This window comes from Homo sapiens, chromosome 2, assembly GCF_000001405.40.
Source record: "Homo sapiens chromosome 2, GRCh38.p14 Primary Assembly".
Lineage (NCBI taxonomy): Eukaryota > Metazoa > Chordata > Mammalia > Primates > Hominidae > Homo > Homo sapiens.
The window spans coordinates 190,747,090-190,770,368 of NC_000002.12; the positions used below are offsets into that span (position 1 = coordinate 190,747,090).

General features: G+C 40.5%; 1 long non-coding RNA gene across 1 annotated transcript, besides 1 other annotated feature; it reads right to left on the reverse strand.

Moving 5' to 3' along the window:
• Nucleotides 1-6,727: 6,727 nt before the first annotated feature.
• On the reverse strand, nucleotides 6,728-13,412 carry LOC124907946 (uncharacterized). The gene is made up of 2 exons (XR_007087780.1): nucleotides 13,003-13,412; nucleotides 6,728-8,038 (listed from the first exon to the last, which is right to left on the reverse strand). It is a non-coding gene; the product is annotated as an uncharacterized LOC124907946 (long non-coding RNA).
• Nucleotides 12,720-13,919: an enhancer, noted in NCBI's record as "BRD4-independent group 4 enhancer chr2:191624535-191625734 (GRCh37/hg19 assembly coordinates)". NCBI's record gives its function as "activates an origin of replication core promoter dependent on BRD2, P300/CBP, MED14 and CDK7 cofactors, and independent of BRD4, by STARR-seq in HCT116 cells {active_cell/tissue: HCT116}" and the evidence as "EXISTENCE:reporter gene assay evidence [ECO:0000049][PMID:35650434]".

Below are 23,279 nucleotides of genomic sequence, written 5' to 3' on the forward strand. Positions count from 1 at the left end.
TGATCGAAGCTTGCTGACCACCATCACAACTGCATTCCAGCCCAAAGGAAGCAGGAAGATATGCAGGGCAAGCAGCTTCCTCTTAAGAATGTGATGCAGATGTTACACACTCTCTTCTATTTATATCCCCTTGGGGAAAACTTGGTCAACTGGCTACAAAAAGCTGCAAGGAATGCCTCTAACAAGGCAGTCACATGCCAGATAAAATTCCACTAACAAAAAGAAAGATTAGGATACTGGAAAGGTCCACTAAAAAAAGAAACATTAGGGGACTGGAGGTAGGGGATCAATTAGCAGTCTCTGTCACATGCAGCCATGTGAAGTCAAAGACATTGGAACCTTGGAGGAAACTTTGCCTCATTTTCTCTGCATCATTGCCAGTAAAAAACCAACATAGAAGTGACCCTGAATTATATTTAAGTGTTGTATGTAAATGAGCCTCTCCATGTTAAGGTTAAAGACAAGAAGATTAATGAGACTGGATGACTAGTGGATTGACTAAGAAGGATCTTACATGCATTCTAGAAAACACCTATTTCCTTAATCTCAGCCCACCTAATTTTATGATGTCAGAACCATGAACTTAAATTTTATTTATTTGATTTCATTCTCAATGTTACTTCTCTAGGAATGATTCACCCTCATTCAAACGTTTCTTCATGTAAAAGTGCTAAAGAATATAGGAAGCTTTATTTGAGCTAAGAATTATATTTCCAACCAAAGACATATAAAAGGATCTTAATTGATAAATATACTTACAATCTGTTCTATGTTGAAGGGAGTTGTCCCAATTCAGACATGACACGTTTAAGGCAGTTAGAGTCCCAGAAAATCTGGGGCAGTTCAATTTTAGATATCTGATATTGTCATTAATTCCTAAACATTTTTGAGCATGCATCACCAATATATGTATATTTATGTATTAATATATATGTATGCACTAACATATATATGAGGTATTATATATGTTATTATAAAATATATTCTATTATATATTTTATAATATGTATAAAACATACACTAAAACTAAAATTTTAAAATGTGTGCATTATAAAACATACTCCAAAACTGAAATTTTAAAAGGATAAGCCAAAGTAATTACAAATAGAAGTTCTAATATTTAACACCACATACTTTTGGGGCTCATGCATACAAATATGAAAACCACTGTACTAGTTAATTATAGAATCAGAACCAGAACCTAGGTCTCCTGACCTTCTAGTTCACTGGTCTTTCCTCTTAACCTTAATCTTTCCATTCATCTTTCTAATACCTTGTTTTGAAGTACAAGGCAGGGTCCAGTTCCAAATAAGATGGAGTAAATGCATCCCATTTTAATTTTCCTTTTAAATCAACAGCTGCCCTTGACAAAATACAAAACTCACTTACCAGAAGATCCTGAAAGGTGGATAAAAGAAGTTGTATTGAGTACGAACTGTTTTTCTCTATACTCCCAACACTTCTGCTTACCAAAATGCATAGTACTTTTCTCACACCAACCAATTCTCTGACACCTCTGGGTATCTCATAATTTAATCGGACACTACTACCTGGAGTTAGTGCGGACCCCACAGGGTAAGGGCTCAGTTCCCACAAGACTGCCCCCACTTCAGACAACAGTTACAAGTCCAGGTTGTGACCTGTACTTCTGACCAACCAGCTATAAATCAGGCTCTTGCAACAGCCTGCTTGGGTTCAATCATTTGGTAAAATGGCTCACGGAACTCAGTGAAACACTTATTTATGTTTACCAGTTTATTATAAAGGATATTACAAAGGACACAGATGAGCAGCCAGATGAAGAGGTACATAGGGTAAAGACAGAAGAGCAGAAGCTTCTGTCCCTGTGGAATTAGGCTGTGTCACCCTCCCCTCATGTGGATGTGCTCACCAACCCAGAATCTCTCTAAACCCCATAATTCAGGGATTCTTATGGTGGCTTCATTATATAGGGCATGATGGATTAACTTAATCTCCAGTTCCTCCCCTCCTGGAGGATGAGAGTGAGGCTGGGAAGTTTCAAGCCATGGCGAGACTTCTCTGGCAACATTGAATTGCCTCATTACAACAAAAGATGTTCCTATCACCAGGAAATTCCAAGGGGTTTAGGAGCTCTGTATCAGGAACCAGGGTTAAAGACCAAACAATAAAACAAAAGATGCTTCTAGCACCCCTGTTGCTTAGGAAATTATAAGGGTTTTAAGAATTCAGTGTAAGAAAACAAAAAAAGAAAATTTCAGGCCAATATCCTGACGAACATCAATGCGAAAATCCTCTATAAAATACTGGCAAACTGAATCCAGCAGCATATCATAAAGCTTATCCACCACAATCAAGTCAGCTTCATCCCTGGGATGCAAGGTTGGTTCAATATACTCAAATCAATAAATGTAATTCATCACATAAATAGAACCAATGACAAAAACCAAATGATTATCTCAATAGATGCAGAAAAGGCCTTTGATAAAATTTAACACCCCTTCATGCTAAAAACTCTCAATAAACTAGGCATTGATGGAACGTATCTCAAAATAATAAGAGCTATTTATGACAAACCCACAACCAATATCACACTGAATAGGCAAAAGCTGGAAGCATTCCCTTTGAAAACTAGCGCAAGACAAGGATGCCATCTCTCAACACTCCTATTCAACATAGTATTGGAAGTTCTGGCCAGGGCAATCAGGCAAGAGAAAGAAAGGGTATTCAAATAGGAAGACAGGAAGTCAAATTTTCTCTGTTTGCAGATGACATGATTGTATACTTAGAAAACCCCATCGTCTCAGCCCAAAATCTCCTTAAGCTGATAAGCAACTTCAGCAGTCTCAGGATACAAAATCAATGTGCAAAAATCACAAGCATTCCTATACACCAATAATAGACAAACAGAGAGCCAAATCATGAGTGAACTCCTATTCACAATTGCTACAAAGAGAATAAAATACCTAGGAATACAACTTAAAAGGAATGTGAAGGACCTCTTCAAGGAGAACTATAAACCACTGCTCAAGAAATAAGAGAGGACACAAACAAATGGAAAAACATTCCATGCTCATGGACAGGAAGAATCAATATTGTGAAAATGGCCATACTGCCCAAAGTAATTTACAGATTCAATGCTATCCCCATCAAGCTACCATTGACTTTCTTCACAGAATTAGAAAAAAATGCTTTAAATTTCATATGGAACCAAAAAAGAGTCCATTAGCCAAGACACTCCTAAGCAAAAAGAACAAAGCTGGAGGCATCACGCTACCTGATTTCAAACTATGCTATAAGGCTACAGTAACCAAAACAGCTTGGTACTGGTACCAAAACAGATATATAGACCAATGGAAAGAACACAGGCCTCAGAAATAATGCCACACATCTACAACCATCTGATCTTTGACAAATCTGACAAAAATAAGCAATGGGGAAAGGATTCCCTGCTTAATAAATGGCGTTGGGAAAACCGGCTAGCCCTATGCAGAAAACTGAAACTGGGCCCCTTCCTTATATCCTATACAAAAATTAACTCAAGATGGATTAAAGACTTAAACGCAAGATGTAAAATCATAAAAACCCTAGAAGAAAACCTAGGTAATACCATTCAGGGCATAGGCACGGGCAAAGACTTCATGACTAAAACACCAAAAGCAATGGCAACAAAAGCCAAAATTGACAAATGGGATCTAATTAAACTAAAGAGGTTCTGCAGAGCAAAAGAAACTATCATCAGAGTGAACAGGCAGTCTATAGAATGGGAGAAAATCTTGGCAATCTATCCATCTGACTAAGGGCTAATATCCAGAATCTACAAGGGACTTAAACAAATTTACAAGAAAAAAAATACAAACAGGCCAGGCGTGGTGGCTCACCCCTGTAATCCCAGCATTTTGGGAGGCCAAGGCAGGTGGATCACGAGGTCAAGAGATCAAGACCATCCTGGCCAACATGGTGAAACCCTGTCTCTACTGAAAACACAAAAATTAGCTGGGCGTGGTGGCACGCACCTGTAGTCCCAGCTACTCGAGAGGCTGAGGCAGGAGAATGGCTTGAAGCCAGGAGGCAGAGGTTGCAGTGAGCTGAGATCGTGCCACTGCACTCCAGCCTGCCAATAGAGCAAGACTGTCTCAAAAAAAAGAAAAAAAGAAAAAAAATACAAACCCCACCAAAAAGTGGGCAAAGGATATGAACAGACACTTCTCAAAAGAAGACATTTATGCAGCCAACAAACATATGAAAAAAAGCTCATCATTACTGATCATTAGAGAAATGCAAATCAAAACCACAATGAGATACTATCTCGTGCCAGTTAGAATGACGATCATTAAAAAGTCAGGAAACAGCAGATGCTGAAGAGTATGTGGAGAAATAGGAATGCTTTTACACTTTTGGTGGGAGTGTAAATTAGTTCAACCATTGTGGAAGACAGTGTGGTGATTCCTCAAGGATCTAGAACCAGAAATACCATTTGACCCAGCAATCCTGTTACTGGGTATATACCCAAAGGACTATAAATCATTCTATAAAGACACATGCACACGTATGTTTATTGCAGCACTATTTACAATAGCAAAGACTTGGAACCAACCCAAATGCCCATCAATGATAGACTGGATAAAGAAAATGTGGCACATATACACCACAGAATACTATGCAGCCATAAAAAAAGAATGAGTTCATGTCCTTTGCAGGGACATGGATGAAGCCGGAAACCATCATTCTCAGCAAGCTAACACAAGAACAGAAAACTGGGCCAGGCGCGGGTGGCTCACGCCTGTAATCCCAGCACTTTGGGAGGCTGAGGTAGGCAGATCACGAGGTCAGGAGATCGAGACCATCCTGGCTAACATGCTGAAACTCCGTCTCTAGTAAAAATACAAAAAAATTAGCCAGGCGTGGTGGTGGGCACCTGTAGTCCCAACTACTCGGGAGGCTGAGGCAGGAGAATGGCGTGAACCTGGGAGGTGGAGTTTGCAGTGAGCTGAGATCATGCCACTGCACTCCAGCCTGGGCAACAGTGTGTGACTCTGTCTCAAAAAAAAAAAAAAAATTCAGTATCAGAAACCAGGGGCAGAGAGTATATATATATATGTGTGTGTGTGTGTATATATATGTGTGCGTATATATATACTATATATGTGTGTGTGTATATATATATTATTTATATATTTATTTCTTATTATTTCACACTAGGGAACTAGGGACTTGAAGAGTCCCTTTATTTTATATATATTATATATATATGTACATATTGTATATATATATATCACACAAGAACTGGAGACCTGACAGTGAGTTTCTTGGTTTTCTCACCTCCTAGATATACAGGCCTGTGTGCAAGAGATGCCTGCAACCTGGAAACAACAATGGGCACAGACAAAAAAAAGCCCTTCCCCCATCCCCCTTAAATCCCCCTCTTTCTAGCCAGAATACTGGGAAAGGTACAGCCCAACAAGACAAAAACCTTTTAACTATATTTGGCAGGCAAAAGTCTAAGGTGTCTCCTAAGATTTCTCATCACTGATGTACATGCCTCGACCTGGAACGATGTATTCGATGGAGTTTATTCCTGTGATTAGGTTACGCTATATGGTACAGTTGACATTAAGATAGGAAGATTATCCAGGTGGTCCTGGTCTAATCACATGAGCCCTTTAAAAGCTGTTTTCTCTGGCTACTTGCAGAAGAGGAAGTCGGGAGATTCAAAATGAGAGAGATTAGACATGAAGAAGGTTTTCTTGAGCTAAGATAGAAGGGTCCATTTGGCAAGGGCCTGAAAGTGGCCTCTAAGAGCAGAGTGGTCCCCATCTGACAGCTAGCAAGATAATGGGGATTTCAGTCTGATAACTGAAAGGAAATGAATTCTGCCAACAATGTGAGGGAATTTGGAAGGTAATTTGCCTGTACTTGAGACAAACACTATGAAAAAAAGCCATGCCCCTCCCTCATTCCACTAGTACTATTGTAGTAGAGTTGGTTCGTGGGCCTCTGGCTTTCACTCCTCTATTAATTTCCTGTTGCTATTGTAACAAATTACCAAAAAATTAGTGGCTTAAAAGAACAAAAATTTACTATTTTACACTTCTGGAGATCCAAAGTTCAAAAGGGGTCTTATGGGATTAAAATCAAGGTGCACACAGAGGTGCATTTTTTCTGGAGTCTTGAGGGGATGATCCATTTTCTTGCCTGTTCCAGCTTCCAGAGTCTGCCTGTACTCCTTGGCCCATGGCCCCTTCCTCCATCTTCAAAGTACATCATTCCAACTGCTACTTCTGTAAACACATCTCATCTCTTCTATTGACTGTCTTACTTTTCTCTTATAATGACACTTGTGATCGCATTGGGCCTACCTGAATACCCTTCCCATATGAAGATCCTTATCTTAATCACATGTGTAAAGTCCCTTTTACCAGTAAGGTAACAGATTCTTAGGTTCTAGGGATTAAGATGTATAGAACTCTAGGCTGAGGGGAATTATTTTGTCTACTATAAACCCCTACAGAATGGCACTGTAGAAGAAGTTTTATAAACTAAATTAACATTTGAATCACAGCCCACAAAAGTCAGCTAGGATGTGCATTCTGAACAGACAGAGTTAACTACTTTATAAAATACGAGTTCCAAATAGGAGCTAGAGTCTTATAATACCCAGAAGTCCAGGATACAGTCAAAAATGACTCACCATATCAGGAAAACTTCAAGTCAAATGAAAAATGATCAATAGATGCCAACACCAAGATGACACAGATGGACTTTATTATTTAGATAATTATCAGACAATGATTTTATTTTCTAAACTTACAAGTATTTTTATTTATACATGGTAATAACAACTATGCATTTTTTGTGTCAGAGCTATTTTTTGTGTATATTTAAGGTGTACAACATGTTTTGACATACTTATATGTAGTGAAATGGTTACTACAGTCACCATTTACTATATACGTCATCTCACATAGCTACTCTCAGACAAGGATTGTAAACCAACTATCATAAAAATGCTCCATAAGCACTTATAAACACTCTTACATCAAATGAAAAAGTAGAAAAATTTAGCAAAGAAATAGAAGATATATTCATTCTTAGCTTTCCTTCATATTCATTCTTGACGGATATTTTTACTGGATGTCGAATTCTGGGTTGACAGTTCTTTCCTTTTAGGGCTTTCAAAATGTTTTGCCTCTTCCTTCTGTCCTTCAAGTTTCTGATTATAAATCTGCTGTCACTTGAGTCACTTTTCATCAGTTGATAATGTGTGGTTTCTCTCTTGCTGATTTTAAGTTTTTCTTTGTTGTTAGTTTTCAGAAGTTTGATTATGATGTGTTTGAGTGTGGATTCTTTAAAGTTTATTCTGTTTGGGGAACACTCAGTTTCTTGAATCTGTAAGTTTATGTCTTTCACCAAATTTGAGGTTGGGCCATTATTTCTTCAGGTATTTCTTCTACCCAGCATTCTTTTTACTCTCCTTCTGAAGACAATAACCTGTGAGACAATAAGTGTGGTGACTGTAGTAACCATTTCACTACATATAAGTATGTTGAGACATCATGTTGTATACCTTAAATATATACAAAAAATAATTCTGACACAAATAATGCATAGTTGCTTACCATATATAAATAAAAACACTTGTAAGTTTAGAAAACCTAACACAGTTATTGTCTCACAGGTCCTTGGGGATTTGTTCATTTTTAAAAAATCTCTTTTCTCTCCGTTTATATTGGTAATTTCTATCGCTCTGTCATTGAAGTCACTGACTCTTCTGTCATCTTTATTTTGTTATTGAGCCCATTCTCACAGCCAAAGACTCTGTTCCCATCCTGTTTTGAGGCTAGAAGGAAAGGAAGGGCCAAGGCTGGTAAACCCAGTTCTCAGGCTACTGGGAGAAAGAATAGAGAGTTCATTTGGTGTGGATGACTTTGAGGATCCAGTTTGTATAGTGGGAAGCCTTGGTGTTGTAGCTAATATCAGCATTCAGAGTACAGCCTTCTGACTAGGATAGGATCCCTTGGAGCAGATTTTGGCACAGGAGTGGGGCAGCAGCTATTTTCTGTTAGAAAGAGGAGAGGTGGGTCAGGCAGGGCAGCCAAAACAAAAGTGATGTATTACCAAGTCTCTATCTGAGGGGCCAGAATAGAAAGACTTGGGTGATAAGGGCTGGGAAAAATGCCTCCTCACCCACTTAGGCCACATCAGGGGAAGCCATGGAGAAATAACACTCAGAAATTTGTCCCCCTGATATCTAAGTTCATTCATGACTGGAAGAAGGATACATATTCCTTCCTGATCCCCATTTACCCTGATCTCTTCTTGTGTTGAGATTGTGTTGGGTTGAAGGATATGTGTGGACCCCAAAACAGTGTTCCAGACCAAATTTAGGGAAGGCAGAGGGAAAAGGGTTTCCCAACATATATGCTCTCCAGAGATGATCTTGCACAGAACGTGTTCTGAGACTTTAATAGGAATCTGTCTCATACAGAACTCTTGGCAATCTCCATTAGAGATCCAAATGACACCTTGGTTTATTTGGATGTTAGGTTTTGTGTCTAAGCACACCCGAGAAGGAGGAAGGTAATATTCTCTTTGGTCCTTCATATATTCAACTTCCTTTCTTCTCTTCTTCCCTCCCTCTTTTCCATTATTAACTTCACCATCATTCAATGATGGAAAAAAACAAAATAAAAAGAAACCAAAGAAGAGGAGAACAGATAATAAAGTGAGAAAACCGAGGTCTGGTTCCAGTGTTGTTAACGGCATATCTTGGGCTTTTGCATGCATGCTTTAATTTATGACTGCTCAGAAGTGTCTCATGAATAAGCCAGATCTATTGCTCTATAATCATAGTTGTATGATAACCCTCATTTACTGGGTACCGAAGGAGCACTAAGGGGTTGTGTTAAAGGTCACTCACTGTAATTCTTCCGTGTACAGCCAGAGATGGTGACATGACTCCCACTCTGTCACCTTTCAGCTGAAACCAGTAAACATTTATTATCTCACAGTATAGGACAGGAATTTAAGAGTGGCTTAGCTGGGTGATTGTGGCTCAGGGTCTCTCATGAGTTTGCAGTCAAGATGCTGCCCAGGGCTGCAGTCATCCGAAGGCTTTACTAGGGGTAGAGGGTTTACTTCCAAGAGGGCTGACTCAAATGGCTTTTGGCAGGAGGCCTTAGTTCTTTTCTACATGAATCTCTCCCTAGGATTGCTTGAATGTCCTCATCACATAGTACCTGATTTCCTTCAGAGCATGTTATTCAAGAGAGAGCAAGGAAAGGAAGTTGCAGTGTCTTAGAAAAACCACATCATCACTTCTGCAATATTTTATTAATTAGAAGCAAGTCACTATGCCCGACTCACCCTCAATTGAAGGGGAATTAAGCTCCACCTCTTGAAGAAAGAAGAATCAGAAATTTGTGTGCATATTTGAAAACCATCACACATGATATCATCAGTATAGTGGGTTATGGTGTTGATGTGCGGAGTATCCAGACAGTCCAAGTCCCTTTAGGTTATATTATGACAGAGGGCATGAGAATTAGCCCTGCTCAGTGCTGTAAAAGTCTGTGTCATTCCCGTGCTTTTGTTTCTCTTTCTTTACAGGAATAGAAATGAATACATTTGCCAATCAATGCAAGGTACCTGAGGCCAGGTTAATCAGTTTGTTCTAGCAAAGATATATCTCGCATAACAAAAGCAATTGGGGCAACTATTTGGTTGAGTTTATTATCCCCCAGGATCAGACCAATTTTTGCAAGGGCCTGACAGGTGAATTAAATGAGGATGAGTGAGGGCCATCACTCTGCATCCTTTAGGTCTTAAAGAGAAGCACTAATCTCGGCCATGTTTCCCAGGATGCAATATCACTTTCTTATTTACTATCTTACTGAGAAAGTGAATTTTGTTTCAGCTATTCCTCTTGGTCTCCCCTGCTAACATAGCTTTTACCCCACAGTACAAGGAATCACTGCAGAGATTCTACCAGCTACCAAGGATATCTATTCCAATTACACATCAGGAAACCAGAGAAATGACCCTTTCCTACTTTCTTTTTCTCCATAGCACTTGTCACTATCTAACCTATGTTACACTATTCATTTTATTTATTATTTGTCTCCTCAATGAATATAATCTCTATAAGGGAAGGCAGTTTTGTCTTTCCCTAACTGATTTTTTCCCCATGATTACAAATTACCTAACACATCATTGCCATTTTATAGTTCTAGCACATAGCAAGTGTGCAATAAATATTTGCTGAATGAAAGAATGAATATGAATGTTGCTGTCATTGAATAATAATATGAATGTTGTTATTATTGTTCTAATTGTCCCTAAGATTTTTCCGCCTCTCTCAGCAAATGTGAATCCAAGTGTGAAACATTCACTCTGGGGCAAATTAGGGAAAGGTTTCCACAAAGGATCACAGATTGCCATTGCACTTCAAGTCTTTCATGGTGCACAGCACGTATGTTGAAGAGGTAGAAGGCAGATCAGGAGGGGCACCACTTCAAGGTTCTCAGCACCTTTTATATCTCTCTCTTCCCCCAATGTGGATTAAAGTACACATATTTAATCTCCTAAATTTTTCACTGGTAATTATTGGTGTTTTGGGATCACACACACACACACACACACACACCCGCCAAGGACATACATTAATTCTGAAAGACACTATGGTTTAAATCATAGATAGCAACTAGTTTGGCCTCCTAGAATCAAATTGCTTATTTTTAAAGCATTTGAATTAGTCATAAAATATTTAAATACTTTCAGGCTTCTTGTGAAAAAATAGAAAGATCTGGCTATTACCATTTTTACTAGTTCCTAGAAGTGAATGCTCACTTTTGGATGGGCATGTGCTTTCCATTTTATTACAGTCCTCACCACTCATTGTTGTCTCCTTCACACTGAGGCTGAATGACAGCTGCCATTCATCAATGTATGGCTGAGACCATTTTTCTTACAGTTAAGAAGAAAGTGATACCATTTTTATGTGTAAGTCCTTTTCAAAGTTGGAAAAATAAAATATAGACAAAGAGGAACATATATTTTAAGAAAAATGGAAAAAGAGTGTTTTGAGGATGTAAGGGGGAGCAAAGATCATGCCAAAGCATTTAATATATAATATGCAAATGAAGTATGACTGGGTCCATAGAGTGCAATTCAAGGAGTCAGGACCTTGAGTTTGCAATTCTTGCTCTAACCTAATAAAAATAAATAAGTCATATAGTCTACTTACCTCATAATTTGCATGGTACTTCTTTCCCTTTTTAGGGAAAGATTACAGATTTTTTAATCTGTAATTCTCATTATTATGTAAAGCACTTTAGTTTCTTTTCTTCATATTAACTTCTTCCCCCCAACACACATATAGACCCATTCACCTCCCAAATTTTGCCCTTTGGGAATAGAAATACAGAACTCTGTATTTCTCTGCTGTGGTTTGGATGTTTGTACCCCTAAACATCACATTGAAATTTAAGCCCCAATGTTGGAAGGGGGGCAAGGTTTGGGTCACAGGGGTGTATCCCTCATGAATGGCTTGGTGCCTTCTCTTGGTAATGAGTGAGTTCTCGCTCTATTCAAAGAGCCTGGCACCTCCTCAAACCCCCCTTCCTTCTCTGGCCATGGGAGCTCTGCACAAGCTAGACTTCCCTTCTTCCACCAGGAGTCAAAGCCACCTGAAGTTTTCACCAAGAGCAGATGCTGGTGCCATGCTTCTTGTACATCCTGCAGAATCATGTGTCGAATAAACGTCTTTTCTTTATAAATTACCCAGCCTCAGGTACTCCTTTATAGCAATCCAAATGGACCAAGATAGACTCATTGCTAGTTCTATGCTTTATAACTCGAGTCCTTATTTATACAAAGAAAAGCTTTGCAATTCTGGCTCAGAAAAGATTTAATTAAAATCTTAGCTAAGGATCCTCATTCTCTTTACTTTCAATATGGAGAAAAGAAAGAGAAGTATTTATTTTTCCAGTAGCTTTCAGTTGATAATTTTAGGATTTAATAGCTAAATTATAATAGCACAAGTAAAATTTTATGTTGGTAATTTAATTTCTGGGATACCCTTAGCTAATAAATACACTTGGTGATTAGAAAAATGGAACATCAGGCTGGGCGCAGTGGCTCATGCCTGTAATCCCAGCACTTTGGGAGGCCGAGGCGGGCGTATCACCTGAGGTCGGGAGTTCAAGACCAGCCTGGCCAACATGGTGAAACCCCATCTCTACTAAAAATACAAAAATTAGCTGAGCCTGGTGGCACGCACCTGTAATCCCAGCTATTTGGGAAGCTGAGGCAGAATTGCTCAGCTTCTGAGCAATTTGAGAGAGAATTGCTTGAATCTGGGAGGCAGAGGTTGCAGCGAGCTGAGGTCACGTCACTGCACTCCAGCCTGGGTGACAGAGGAAAACTCCATCTCAAAAAAAAAAAAAAAAAAAGAAAAGAAAAAAAAAAAGAAAAATGTAACATCAGGTAGAATTATCCAAGTGTTTTTGTTTTTATTTTTATTTTTATTTTTTTTTAAGGCCAAACACAAATCCATCACAATTCTGGCACTTACTTTAAATGATAGGGTATTGGGCCGTATTTGTCAATCTCTTGTAAAGAAACCAGGGTGTTTTTATATTTACCTGAATATGTCTTTCTACCTCCACCACCTTTTCCATATTCATTCATGTAAATTATAAAAGTAAGGCAGTTACTGAGCCCAATATTCACTGATAACAAAGCAGGAAGCTTATGGGTATGAATCAGAGTGTGGATGACTCATTAAAAGCCAAATGTTTGTACGGAAAGCTCCCCTAAAATGGCACAAAAGCAAATATTTATAAACATGTTAAGAAAGCATTGTGGAACTCTTGGGAGGAGGGGTTAAAATATTGCCACACATTCCTAATTACACTATTACAATAAAACATTGCTTTGCTACCATGAAGTCTGACCCAGGCTCTAAACTCTTTAGCAATGGGGTTGCTCTAATTAGCTATAATAAGACTGATCCTGACTCACAGTGTGTCCGGAATTGGTGGGTTCTTGGTCTCACTGACTTCAAGAATGAAGCCACGGATCCTCGCGGTGAGTGTTACAGTTGGCGCGTCTGGAGTTTGTTCCTTCTGGTGTTCGGATGTGTTCGGAGTTTCTTTCTTCTGGTGGGTTCGTGGTCTCGCTGGCTCAGGAGTGAAGCTGCAGACCTTCGCGGTGAGTGTTACAGCTCTTAAGGCGGTGCGTCTGGAGTTGTTCGTTCCTCCCGGTGGGCTGGTGGCCTCGCTGGCTTCAGGATTGAAGCTGCAGACCTTCCCGGTGAGTGTTACAGCTCATAAAAGCAGTGTGGACTCAAAGAGTGAGCAGTAGCAAGATTTACCACAAAGAGCGAAAGAACAAATCTCCCACAACATGGAAACGGACGCAAGCTGGTTGCCACTACTAGCTCAGGCAGCCTGGTTTTATTCTCTTATCTGGCCCCACCCACTTCCTGCTGATTGGTAGAGCCCAGTGGTCTGTTTTGACAGGGCGCTGATTGGTGCCTTTACAATCCCTGAGCTAGACAGAAAGGTTCTCTAAGTCCACACCAGATTAGCTAGATACAGAGTGTGGACACAAAGGTTCTCCAAGGCCTCACCAGAGTAGCTAGATACAGAGTGTCGATTGGTGCATTCACAAACCCTAAGCTAGACACAGGGTGCTGATTGGTGTTTTTACAAACCTTGAGCTAGATACAGAGTGCTGATTGGTGTATTTACAATCCCTGAGCTAGACATAAAGGTTCTCCACGTCCCCACCAGACTCAGGAGCCCAGATGGCTTCACCTCGTGGATCCCGCACCGGGGCTGCAGATAGATGGAGCTGCCTGCCAGTCCCGCGTTGTTCGCCCGCACTCCTCAGCCCTTGGGTGGTCGATGGGACTGGGCGCCATGGAGCAGGGGGTGGCGCTCGTCAAGGAGGCTCGGGCCGCACAGGAGCCCACGGAGGGGGTCGGAGGCTCAGGCATGGCGGGCTGCAGGTCCCGAGCCCTGCCCCGCGGGAAGGCAGCTAAGGCCCGGTGAGAAATCGAGTGCAGCGCCGGTGGGCCGGCACTGCTGGGGGACCCAGTACACCCTCCGCAGCCGCTGGCCCGGGTGCTAAGCCCCTCATTGCCCGGGGCCGGCAGGGCCGGCCGGGCCGGCCGGCTGCTCCGAGTGCGGGGCCCGCCAAGCCCACGCCCACCCGGAACTCCAGCTGGCCCGCAAGCGCCGCGCGCAGCCCCGGTTCCCGCTCGCGCCTCTCCCTCCACACCTCCCTGCAAGCTGAGGGAGCCGGCTCCGGCCTTGGCCAGCCCAGAACGGAGCTCCCACAGTGCAGCGGTGGGCTGAAGGGCTCCTCAAGTGCCGCCAAAGTGGGAGCCCAGGCAGAGGAGGCGCCGAGAGCGAGCAAGGGCTGTGAGAACTGCCAGCACACTGTCACCTCTCAACAGTACTTCTTATTTTGAGATATCATTCTATTTTGATAACTTCAGCCTCTCTCTATTTTTCCTTTTTTTTTTTTTTTTCCTGAGACGGAGTCTCGCTCTGTTGCCCAGGCTGGAGTGCAGTGGCGCAATCTCGGCTCACTGCAACCTCTGCCTCCTGGGTTCAAGCAATTCTCCTGCCTCAGCCTCCCGAGTAGCTGGGATTACAGGCATGTGCCACCATAACCGGCTAACTTCTGTATTTTTAGTAGAGATGGGGTTTCGCCATGTTGGCCTGGCTGGTCTCAAACTCCTGACCTCAAGTGATCCGCTCGCCCAAAGTGCTAGGATTACAGGCGTGAGCCACCACGCCCGGCCTGTTTTTCTTTCCTTTTTTGAAGACAAGGTCTTGCACTGTTGCCCAGGCTGGGGTTCAGTGGTGTGATCATAGCTCACTGCAGCCTCCAATTCCTGGCCTCAAGCAATCCTCCTGAGTCGGCCTCCCAAAATGCTGGGATTACAGGTGTAAGCCACTGCACCTGGACTATCTCTATTTTGAATGCATCAAAAATACATGTGCTACTTATGACAATTTTAAGTTTTCTGTAGATATTCCTCTTAATTGCAATCTGTACAGAGGACACAAGAAAAGGGCGATTAGAAATGGAAATTTGTTTCTTGATGAGGAAATCTTCAAGTAATGTAAGTATACATTTAAATTCTGCACCAGGATGTTGCCTATTTTTTTAAATGACTTTCTTTGTCCTCCAAGTAAATATAGAATGGCTGTTTGCTTTAATTCTAACACATACTTTTGGCACATTCCAGGTTCTTGCTTAGACTTCTCAGGCTCTAATTTGAAACCCCAGAGTCCTTTACCCAGACTGATCTGGGGCCTATGGTAAGTCAGCTCCTGTTAGAAGCTGTCTTCAAATAGGAGGTGATGATGGAGGTGGTGGAAGGCTAGTGTTTCTCTATCTGGTCCACATTTGAAAAGGCATCAGAAATTCAGGAGGTAATTAGGCCAAGGGGCAAACCCTCCTGCTAAACCAAGCTTTCTGTCCTTTTTCTGTGACTTCTACTGGGGATCTTGAGTTTGTTGGCATGTTTTAAAACGGATATTGAACCATGTAGTTATCCATAATTGAACTCAGCATTGAAGTAGGAAGCAGTACTCTTTCAGAATTTTATCTTGTATGTAAGAAACCAGTGGAAAGTACTTAGGATGGTGGCTGTAAGAGATGCAAGTGTCAAGGAGAGATAATGTCATTTTGGATCTGCATAGTTGGGGCTTGTGTTATCTACTTCTGTTGTAAAAATATGATGAGTCTATGTGGACCATGGTTACAGATACAACCCTGTTTCCTCAGTCAAGATCATGAGAAAATAGGTTCTCTGGATAACTGGATTTCCCAGATTTCTGAAGCTTTGCCTATTAAGCACAACAATGTAAATAAAATAATAAAATAAAATAACCATAGAAAATGGAAGAATCTCTGTGGAGTATGGCAGAAGGGGGTGGGGCAAAAGAGTGGAAGCTTTAACTTCTCTATGCTCTTCTGTATGAATACATTTTAAGTTAATATGTATTACTTTTACTATTTTAAAAGTTTACTTGAAACCATTTTTATATAAGTATATACATAACTTACATAAGTATAAGTATATAAGCATGTAAGCAAAACTTACACTTATATAAGTTGCCTTTCTAAACAGAGCCACAATGAGATTTATTTTGATGATTCACCATCATCATTATAAAAGTCAATTCCTCCCTATGCCATAAAGCAATGGCACCCTCAAACAGTCCTGGAGTATATGGAATGGTTTATTCCTACACTAACTCTCCTTAAATTTTTTATTTGTTTCTCATAAATTTTCTGCTGTTTGCTTTGCTGTGAGATAGTCAGCTGTCATTCCACATGGACAGAATTTGGCCTGTGTTTAGCAGCCTCCCTTAAGAAAAATTTTGTTTTAGAGACAGGGGCTGGCTCTGTCACCCAGCTGTATGTAGTTCAGTGATATGAGCACAGCTCACTGCAGCTTCAAACTCCTGGGTTTGAGTAATCCTCCTACCTCAGCTTCTCAAGTAGCTGGGACTGTATGCATGAGCCTCAGTGCCTGGCAAGAATTTTTTTTTGTTTTAATTTAATGCTCCTAATTAGCTAAGTGGTTGGTAAGTCACATAAACTAACTTCTTAGAAGCAAACAAAATAAAATTAAATGGGCATATAGTGAATACCAAAGGGTCACTCTTGTGAGCAGTGTACCAAGAATATAGCTTTCATGCATTTATTTGAAGGTCTCTATCTTATTCTTTCTATCTGGATCTCAGCTATGTTTTAGTTATTATATGTCACTGGATAAAAGAGTTATAGATAAAGGAAGTGATGTTCTGCTGTCATTTAATAAAATACTTCCAACATTTCTTCCCTGCTTTGTGAAAGTATTCACTGGTGGTCCAGGTAGATGCATGTGATGTTGAACTGGAGTTTTTCTCACTCTCCAGGCTAATTGAGATGATAGACCTGGATGTGCTGCCAGTTCTAGAATAATATTTAAACCAGAAGTAATTGCCAGCATTTGGATAACCAATGATTCATTTATAGTAAATGTTCCCTGGGTTTTATGCTCTCAGTACTCTTGAATATGTATCAGGTTTACCAAGCCCATATGAAAAAAACATACATGTAGGCTCTAGTCTACTAGGTAGATCAGACAAGACCAGCTGATTCACAGATATATGGAAATAGATCAAATACGTAGCATGTGTTTGAAAGGAACACTTTAGTTAGACAGGGAGTGGGGATTTTTTGACAATCCTTCTGAACATGAGTCAGAGTGTAGGTTTGCATGGGTGAGAGCGTGGGTGTATACATCTGTGGGTGTCAGAAAGAGACAGCCAGAGATAGATGGCTGCAGTTCCTAGCTAGTAAAATGACTATAATAGTAAAATAAATTTAAAGGCATAGAGCTTTATGGAGCCCTTTAAAATAGTTTTAGATAAACAATGTCTACAGACTTACCTGAAATACCAATTGCTTCCTGCAAAGAATTTAAATTACCCCTCCTTATACAATACCAGGCAATTTTCATTTACCACTTATTTGAAATTTGGTAATTATCACAAATGAAACCCTATCTTACATTCTTAGCAGTCAAAATTTTTTTAAATGAGAAAATTGAGATAAATTGGCGTATTTCTCATCTAGAAAATGACCTTCAGCTGTTCATAGGCCAAGAAATGACAGCAAATAACTTGCCAAAGAAAAAAGAGCTAAAATGGGTAATAGGAGAAGCAGAATTTTATCTACAGTGATAACAAGATGATTTCTGATACACTTACCAGCATCTAGTAATTGGGCAACACAAAAATGTAAAAAGTGGGAATTGCCTATATAATTACTTGCCTGGTTTTACCTGGGAGAATAATGTAGATGACATGGAGTCTATGCGTAGAAACGCCATTTAACAAGAAATTCCCAGATTCTCATTGTTTTTTGATAATTCCATGATGGCGAGTTTGAATTTATGTGCAAGTTGAGAGTTTACAAAGCTACACAGAATTTCACCTGAAACTAAAGCAAATAACACCAGAAAGAAAGAGGTGATGGATCAATATGCACAGATGGGATCATTCACTATGCTGTTTTGAGCCAGTCTGGTGTGCCTCCTCCCCGTGTTTGTTTCTAGAATTCCGGCCCTGCACCTGTCCTCAGAAAACTCAACCCTTGAATTAACAGTTAAAGAAGCTGATAGACACTGTTTGTACTAAGTGCTATTACACAGATGTCAATGGAAGATGCAATTATTAATTCTTCACCTACCAATGGTGATTTTTTTCCAAAGCAGAACTATTTTTTCTAATTATAAAAATAATGCACGCTCATAAAAATTCAGATATGATAGAAAAGTATCATTTGCTCATGTAAGGAAAATTCACTTAAAGCCATTAGACACTAAAAGGAGAAAAGAATCAGGGCTTCCTTACATATTCCTCCTTTGTAAACGAACCTCTCCACTCCTTGGCATACATCACTTTTCATCATTAACTGGAGGAGAAAAGGTCACGCAGTGTACTTGCCTAGTGGGCCAGAGACCTGGCTCACTCTTTGTTGCTACTACCCTTTATGGCCATGCACTATTATTAGTTTTCACATAATGTAAGCGCAATATAAATTTATTTCACAAGCTACTTTAGACTTGGAAAAATCCAAAACAATTGCATCTGCTTCTTGTGCATTAGTAAGATCACTCCTGCACTCATAAGAAGGAAGTTCTCGCCTCTATTCTAAAGTCCTGATTCTTTATCTCTCCTTCCCTGTCACAGTTAGGAAGTCAAATCCCACTTAACCAGTGTGTGGATGAGTAATGGTAGCCGTGAACCTTCACTAGGTTTGGGGCTCTTAATGTGGAGGATGAATAAGATACAGAGAATGTGAGAGCCTTGTGCTAGTCAGAGCAGGATAGACTTATGTTGCAGTTACCCAATTAATCTGAATCCACAGTGGCTTAACACAAGAAAGGTTTGTTTCTTGCTCATGCTACATATTCATCATGGATGGGAGGGGCCCCACTCTAGGACTCAGGATGATGGAAGTTCTGCCATCGTGCAGCTGCATCTGCTCCCTATTACCATGCCCTCCTTTTTTTTTTTAACCATTAATTCCAATTTGAGTTGGCTGAAAATAGCAACATGCCTGGATTTGTCAGGCCAATTTCTGTAACAATTAGTTGTCTCTGGTTTTTAGAATTCTGGGTACTTTTTATTTTGTTTATCTGCATGTTATAGTTTGTCTATAATCTCAGGGGTTTAAGACAATAGAATTTAAGTCAGGTGTGGTGACTCATGCCTGTAATACCAGCTCTTTGGGAGAGCTCAGGAATTTGAGACCAGCCTGGGCAACATAGTGAAACCCCGTCCCTACAAAAAATACAAAAATTAGCTGGGCGCTGTGGCCTGCAGTCCCAGCTACTCGGGAGGCTGAGGTGAGAGGATCCCTTGAGCCTGGGAGACAGAGGTTGCAGTAAACTGTGTTCATGCCCCTGCACTCCAGCCTGGGTAACAGAGTGAGACACTGCATCAAAAACCAAAAAAAGACAGTAGAACTTATTAATTGCACGTGTAATAGTTCAGTGTGGCTATTCAATGAGCTGCCTTGCATGAGGTGATTCAGGGACATGGGCTCCTCCTTCCTCTGCCATCCCCCAGGCCTTCAGAGTCCTCTGCTGGTTCCTCTATATCAGGCAGAGAGACCCAAGAAGAAAAGGATCAGGGGCCAGGTTTGGAAGCAGCATATATCATTTCCACCCACAATTCTGTTGGCCAGAATTCATGATCACACTTAACCTCAAGGGAGCCTGGGAGCTGTAGTCGTCTGTGTGCACAGGAGGAAAAAGAAGAGGTTTGGTGACAGTCTCAGAAGAGGAACTAAGGAATCTGACTGCAGTTAGATATGTCTGAGGAAAAGAACATTATTTCTATTGCATTGTTCTTATTTCCTTCATTTATACTTAGATATTGTCTCTCACTTGTTTATTTCATTTTCTTTTAAAACCAGCTTTTAAAAATGTTAATATCCAGCTTTGTTGAGAGTATACAAAGGTGAACATAATAACACTTAGCTGGTTGGCATATAAACTGACATAATCTTACTGAAGGGAAATTTGTGTATATGAATCAAAAACCTTTAAAGGACTATAGTCACCAGTTCTACTTCCAGAATTTTATCCTGGGGAAATAAGCAGGTAATAGAAACAGATGTATGGATTTATCATAGCATTGCTTATAGTGGTGAAACACTTCCATGACATAAATGTCCAACAATTGGAAGTAAAATAATAATGCTACTTTTAATAAAGATCATGTGGCCGTGAATGATTCCATAGGTGTCTATTTAGTGAAATTGAATGATATTCCTTATACATTAAGAGAAAATACAAGTTCACAATCTCTATGTCTGGAATATTCCCATTCTGGTTTTTCAAAGGATGATTTTACACACACACACACACACACACACACACACATATCAGGAATATATATGTGTGTGTGTGTGTGTGTGTGTGTGTGTGTGTGTGTGGGGTTTGTGTGTGTGTGTGCATGATTTTTTACCTAATTATTTTTCTCTGGGCATTCTGAATCTGGGTGAGTTTCTTTTTTTTCCTTTTTTGCTCACTTGTGTTTTCCATATAAACAGGTGATGTTGTCTAAAAAAGAAATCTTTCATATTTTAAAGCAAAAAACCCAAACCCTTAATATTTAAAACAAAAACACAGTTTTAACTCATAGACATCTCAAAGGAAAAACAAAACAAAATACCACCTGCTTACCCACACTGGCTTGGATAAAGGGTAACAAACATCTCTTCCAGATGGACCTTGCCTGAACACCTGGAGGAATCTAGATTGGGGTGTGGGGTGTGTGGGGGTGGGTTACATGCCATATTCTTGACTGGGCCCTTGTCTCTGCACCGGGCTTAAGCAGATTGTCGGGTCCATGCATAGTTGCTGTTCATTCCTCACCTCCCTCACTCTGACAATGGTCTGCTTTCTTTTCCCTGAGTAGGAAACCTGCAGAGGCAGCTGGCTTGTGATACTTTGTGTAGGCATGTGAGTTACATGCAAATCACATGCAGAGTCACTCAGAATCCTTTCTCAGATGGTCCAAGTCAAGAATATTTGTCTTAAGTCTGTAGTATGATACCTAAAAACGGGCATGTACTTATGATATTTCTCTTAATTTCTCCCAGAATAAGTCAAATTACTGTAAGAAGAGGTTTCAGCTTTTAAGTTCACTATTCTTTTTGGAGTTATCCATGCATGCATGCTTACAAAAATTAAATTATTTTCAAAGACAGAATAATTTTTCCACCACAGTTAAACTCAAAGTAAATGAAGAGCTAGAACATGATACTTTCCTCTAAGAATAGACATTCTTTATAGTTCAAATTACTTGCAATATGGATTTATAATAGCAGAAAGATGGGACAAAATTTTAATCACTTTCAGTGTTAAGAATAGTGATTTTATGAACTGTAGACTTAACTCAGCAAAATCACACATCTCTGTCACCTACACACACTTTCTTTCTTTCTTTTTTTTTTTTGAGACAGAGTGTCACTGTCACCCAGGCTGGAGTGCAATGGCGCGATCTTGGCTCACTGCAAGCTCTGCCTCCTGGGTTCATGCTATTCTCCTGCCTCAGCCTCCCAAGTAGCTGAGACTACAGGCGCCTGCTACCACGCCCGGCTAATTTTTTGTATTTTTAGTAGAGATGGGTTTCACTGTGTTAGCCAGGATGGTCTCGATCTCCTGACCTCGTGATCCGCCCACCTCAGCCTCCCAAAGTGCTGGGAATACAGGCGTGTGCCACCACGCCCGGCTACAAAGTTCACATCTGCTAAAATTATATTCATTCACAAATTAATTCAAAGAAGTGTACTATTTATTTAGAGACAAGATCTTGCTCTGCCACCCAGGCTGGAGGGCAACAGGGCGATCATGGCTCACTGCAGCCTCAACCTCTTGGGTTCAAGTGATCCTCCTACCTCAGCCTCCTGAGTAGCTGGGACTAAAGTGTGCATGCCATCATGCCTGGCAAAAGATGTGTACTTTTTGAAAGACATTATCTACAATAAAAAATCAAAGCCAATCTTGGTTCTCTATTAAAAAATCAACTTGTGTAAAATCAGTATACTCGTCAGAAAATTATTATAAAACTAAGACAAAACACAACATACCAAAATGTCACTTTGTTTGCTACATTTCAACACCCTATACTTGCCTAGGTTGCCTTTTGGTTTTTCAAACAGGATGAAAAAGAGGAAATGCTGATAATTATATGCAACTCTTGTTGATTTTATTGATTAGCAGTAAGTTGAGAATTTTCTCTTCCAACAGAGGAAGATAAGATGTTAACTCTCATAATCACTTAGGATTTATTTATTTATTTATTTATTTATTTATTTATTTATTTATTTTAGAGATGAGCCCTCTATGTTATTCAGGATGGCCTCAAACCCCTGGGCTCAAGGAATCCTCCCAACTCAGTCTCCCAAGTGGCTGGGACTATAGGTGCTGGTGACTATAGTGTCACCTCTGCTGTGCACCTCTACTGTGCACAGGTGACTGTGTGCACCTCTACTGTGTGGACAGTTGAATCCTGACGGTGCTTCAACTCAGTCACTGTATATACACACTGCAGATTGCATGTATGTAGGCATGAACATGCCAAGAGGTGTGTTGATCTGGGTATCTCTGCTTTAGGGACCTGGGTGGTGTTTGTGTATGAGTCTGCATATAGTCACCTGACTCGCTCAGAATTTTAACAGGGGGTAAGAGAGAATTAGTCCCTGAGGGGAGGCGAAATAAAGTGCTAGTGTTGGGGTGAAAGGTCTAGGAAAGAGACTAGTGGTGGACCCGTTGCCTCCTTCATTTCCCTGGTTAGGCTCAGGCTGTATGTTTCCATAAGCTACTGTCTTGCTAAGATACCTTTGCCACCATGAAGGATGCCGGGATCAACTAAAGGTGTCTTCTGGGGATAGCCTTGAGCTCAGTCCTCAATGTTACTTCTCCTCTCTGAGACTTTATGTCTCCTCATCCTTGGCTACTACCCTTGAGTGCCAGCTCTAAATGCTCATCCTCTGCTCCCGACACACCATTTCCAGCATCTCACTTCCTCAGTTCCATCATCAAACCACTGGTAAAAGACCTTGGTTATTCTGGGACTTTCATCCTCAACCACTGCCTGGGGCTGGCTGCCCAGAGGACATGGTGCTTTTCCATGGCTGAAAATAGATGTGTGGGGCAGGTTTGCTGCAACCAGCAGAAAGCAGAGAGAGAAAGCAGCTTGCTGATCTCA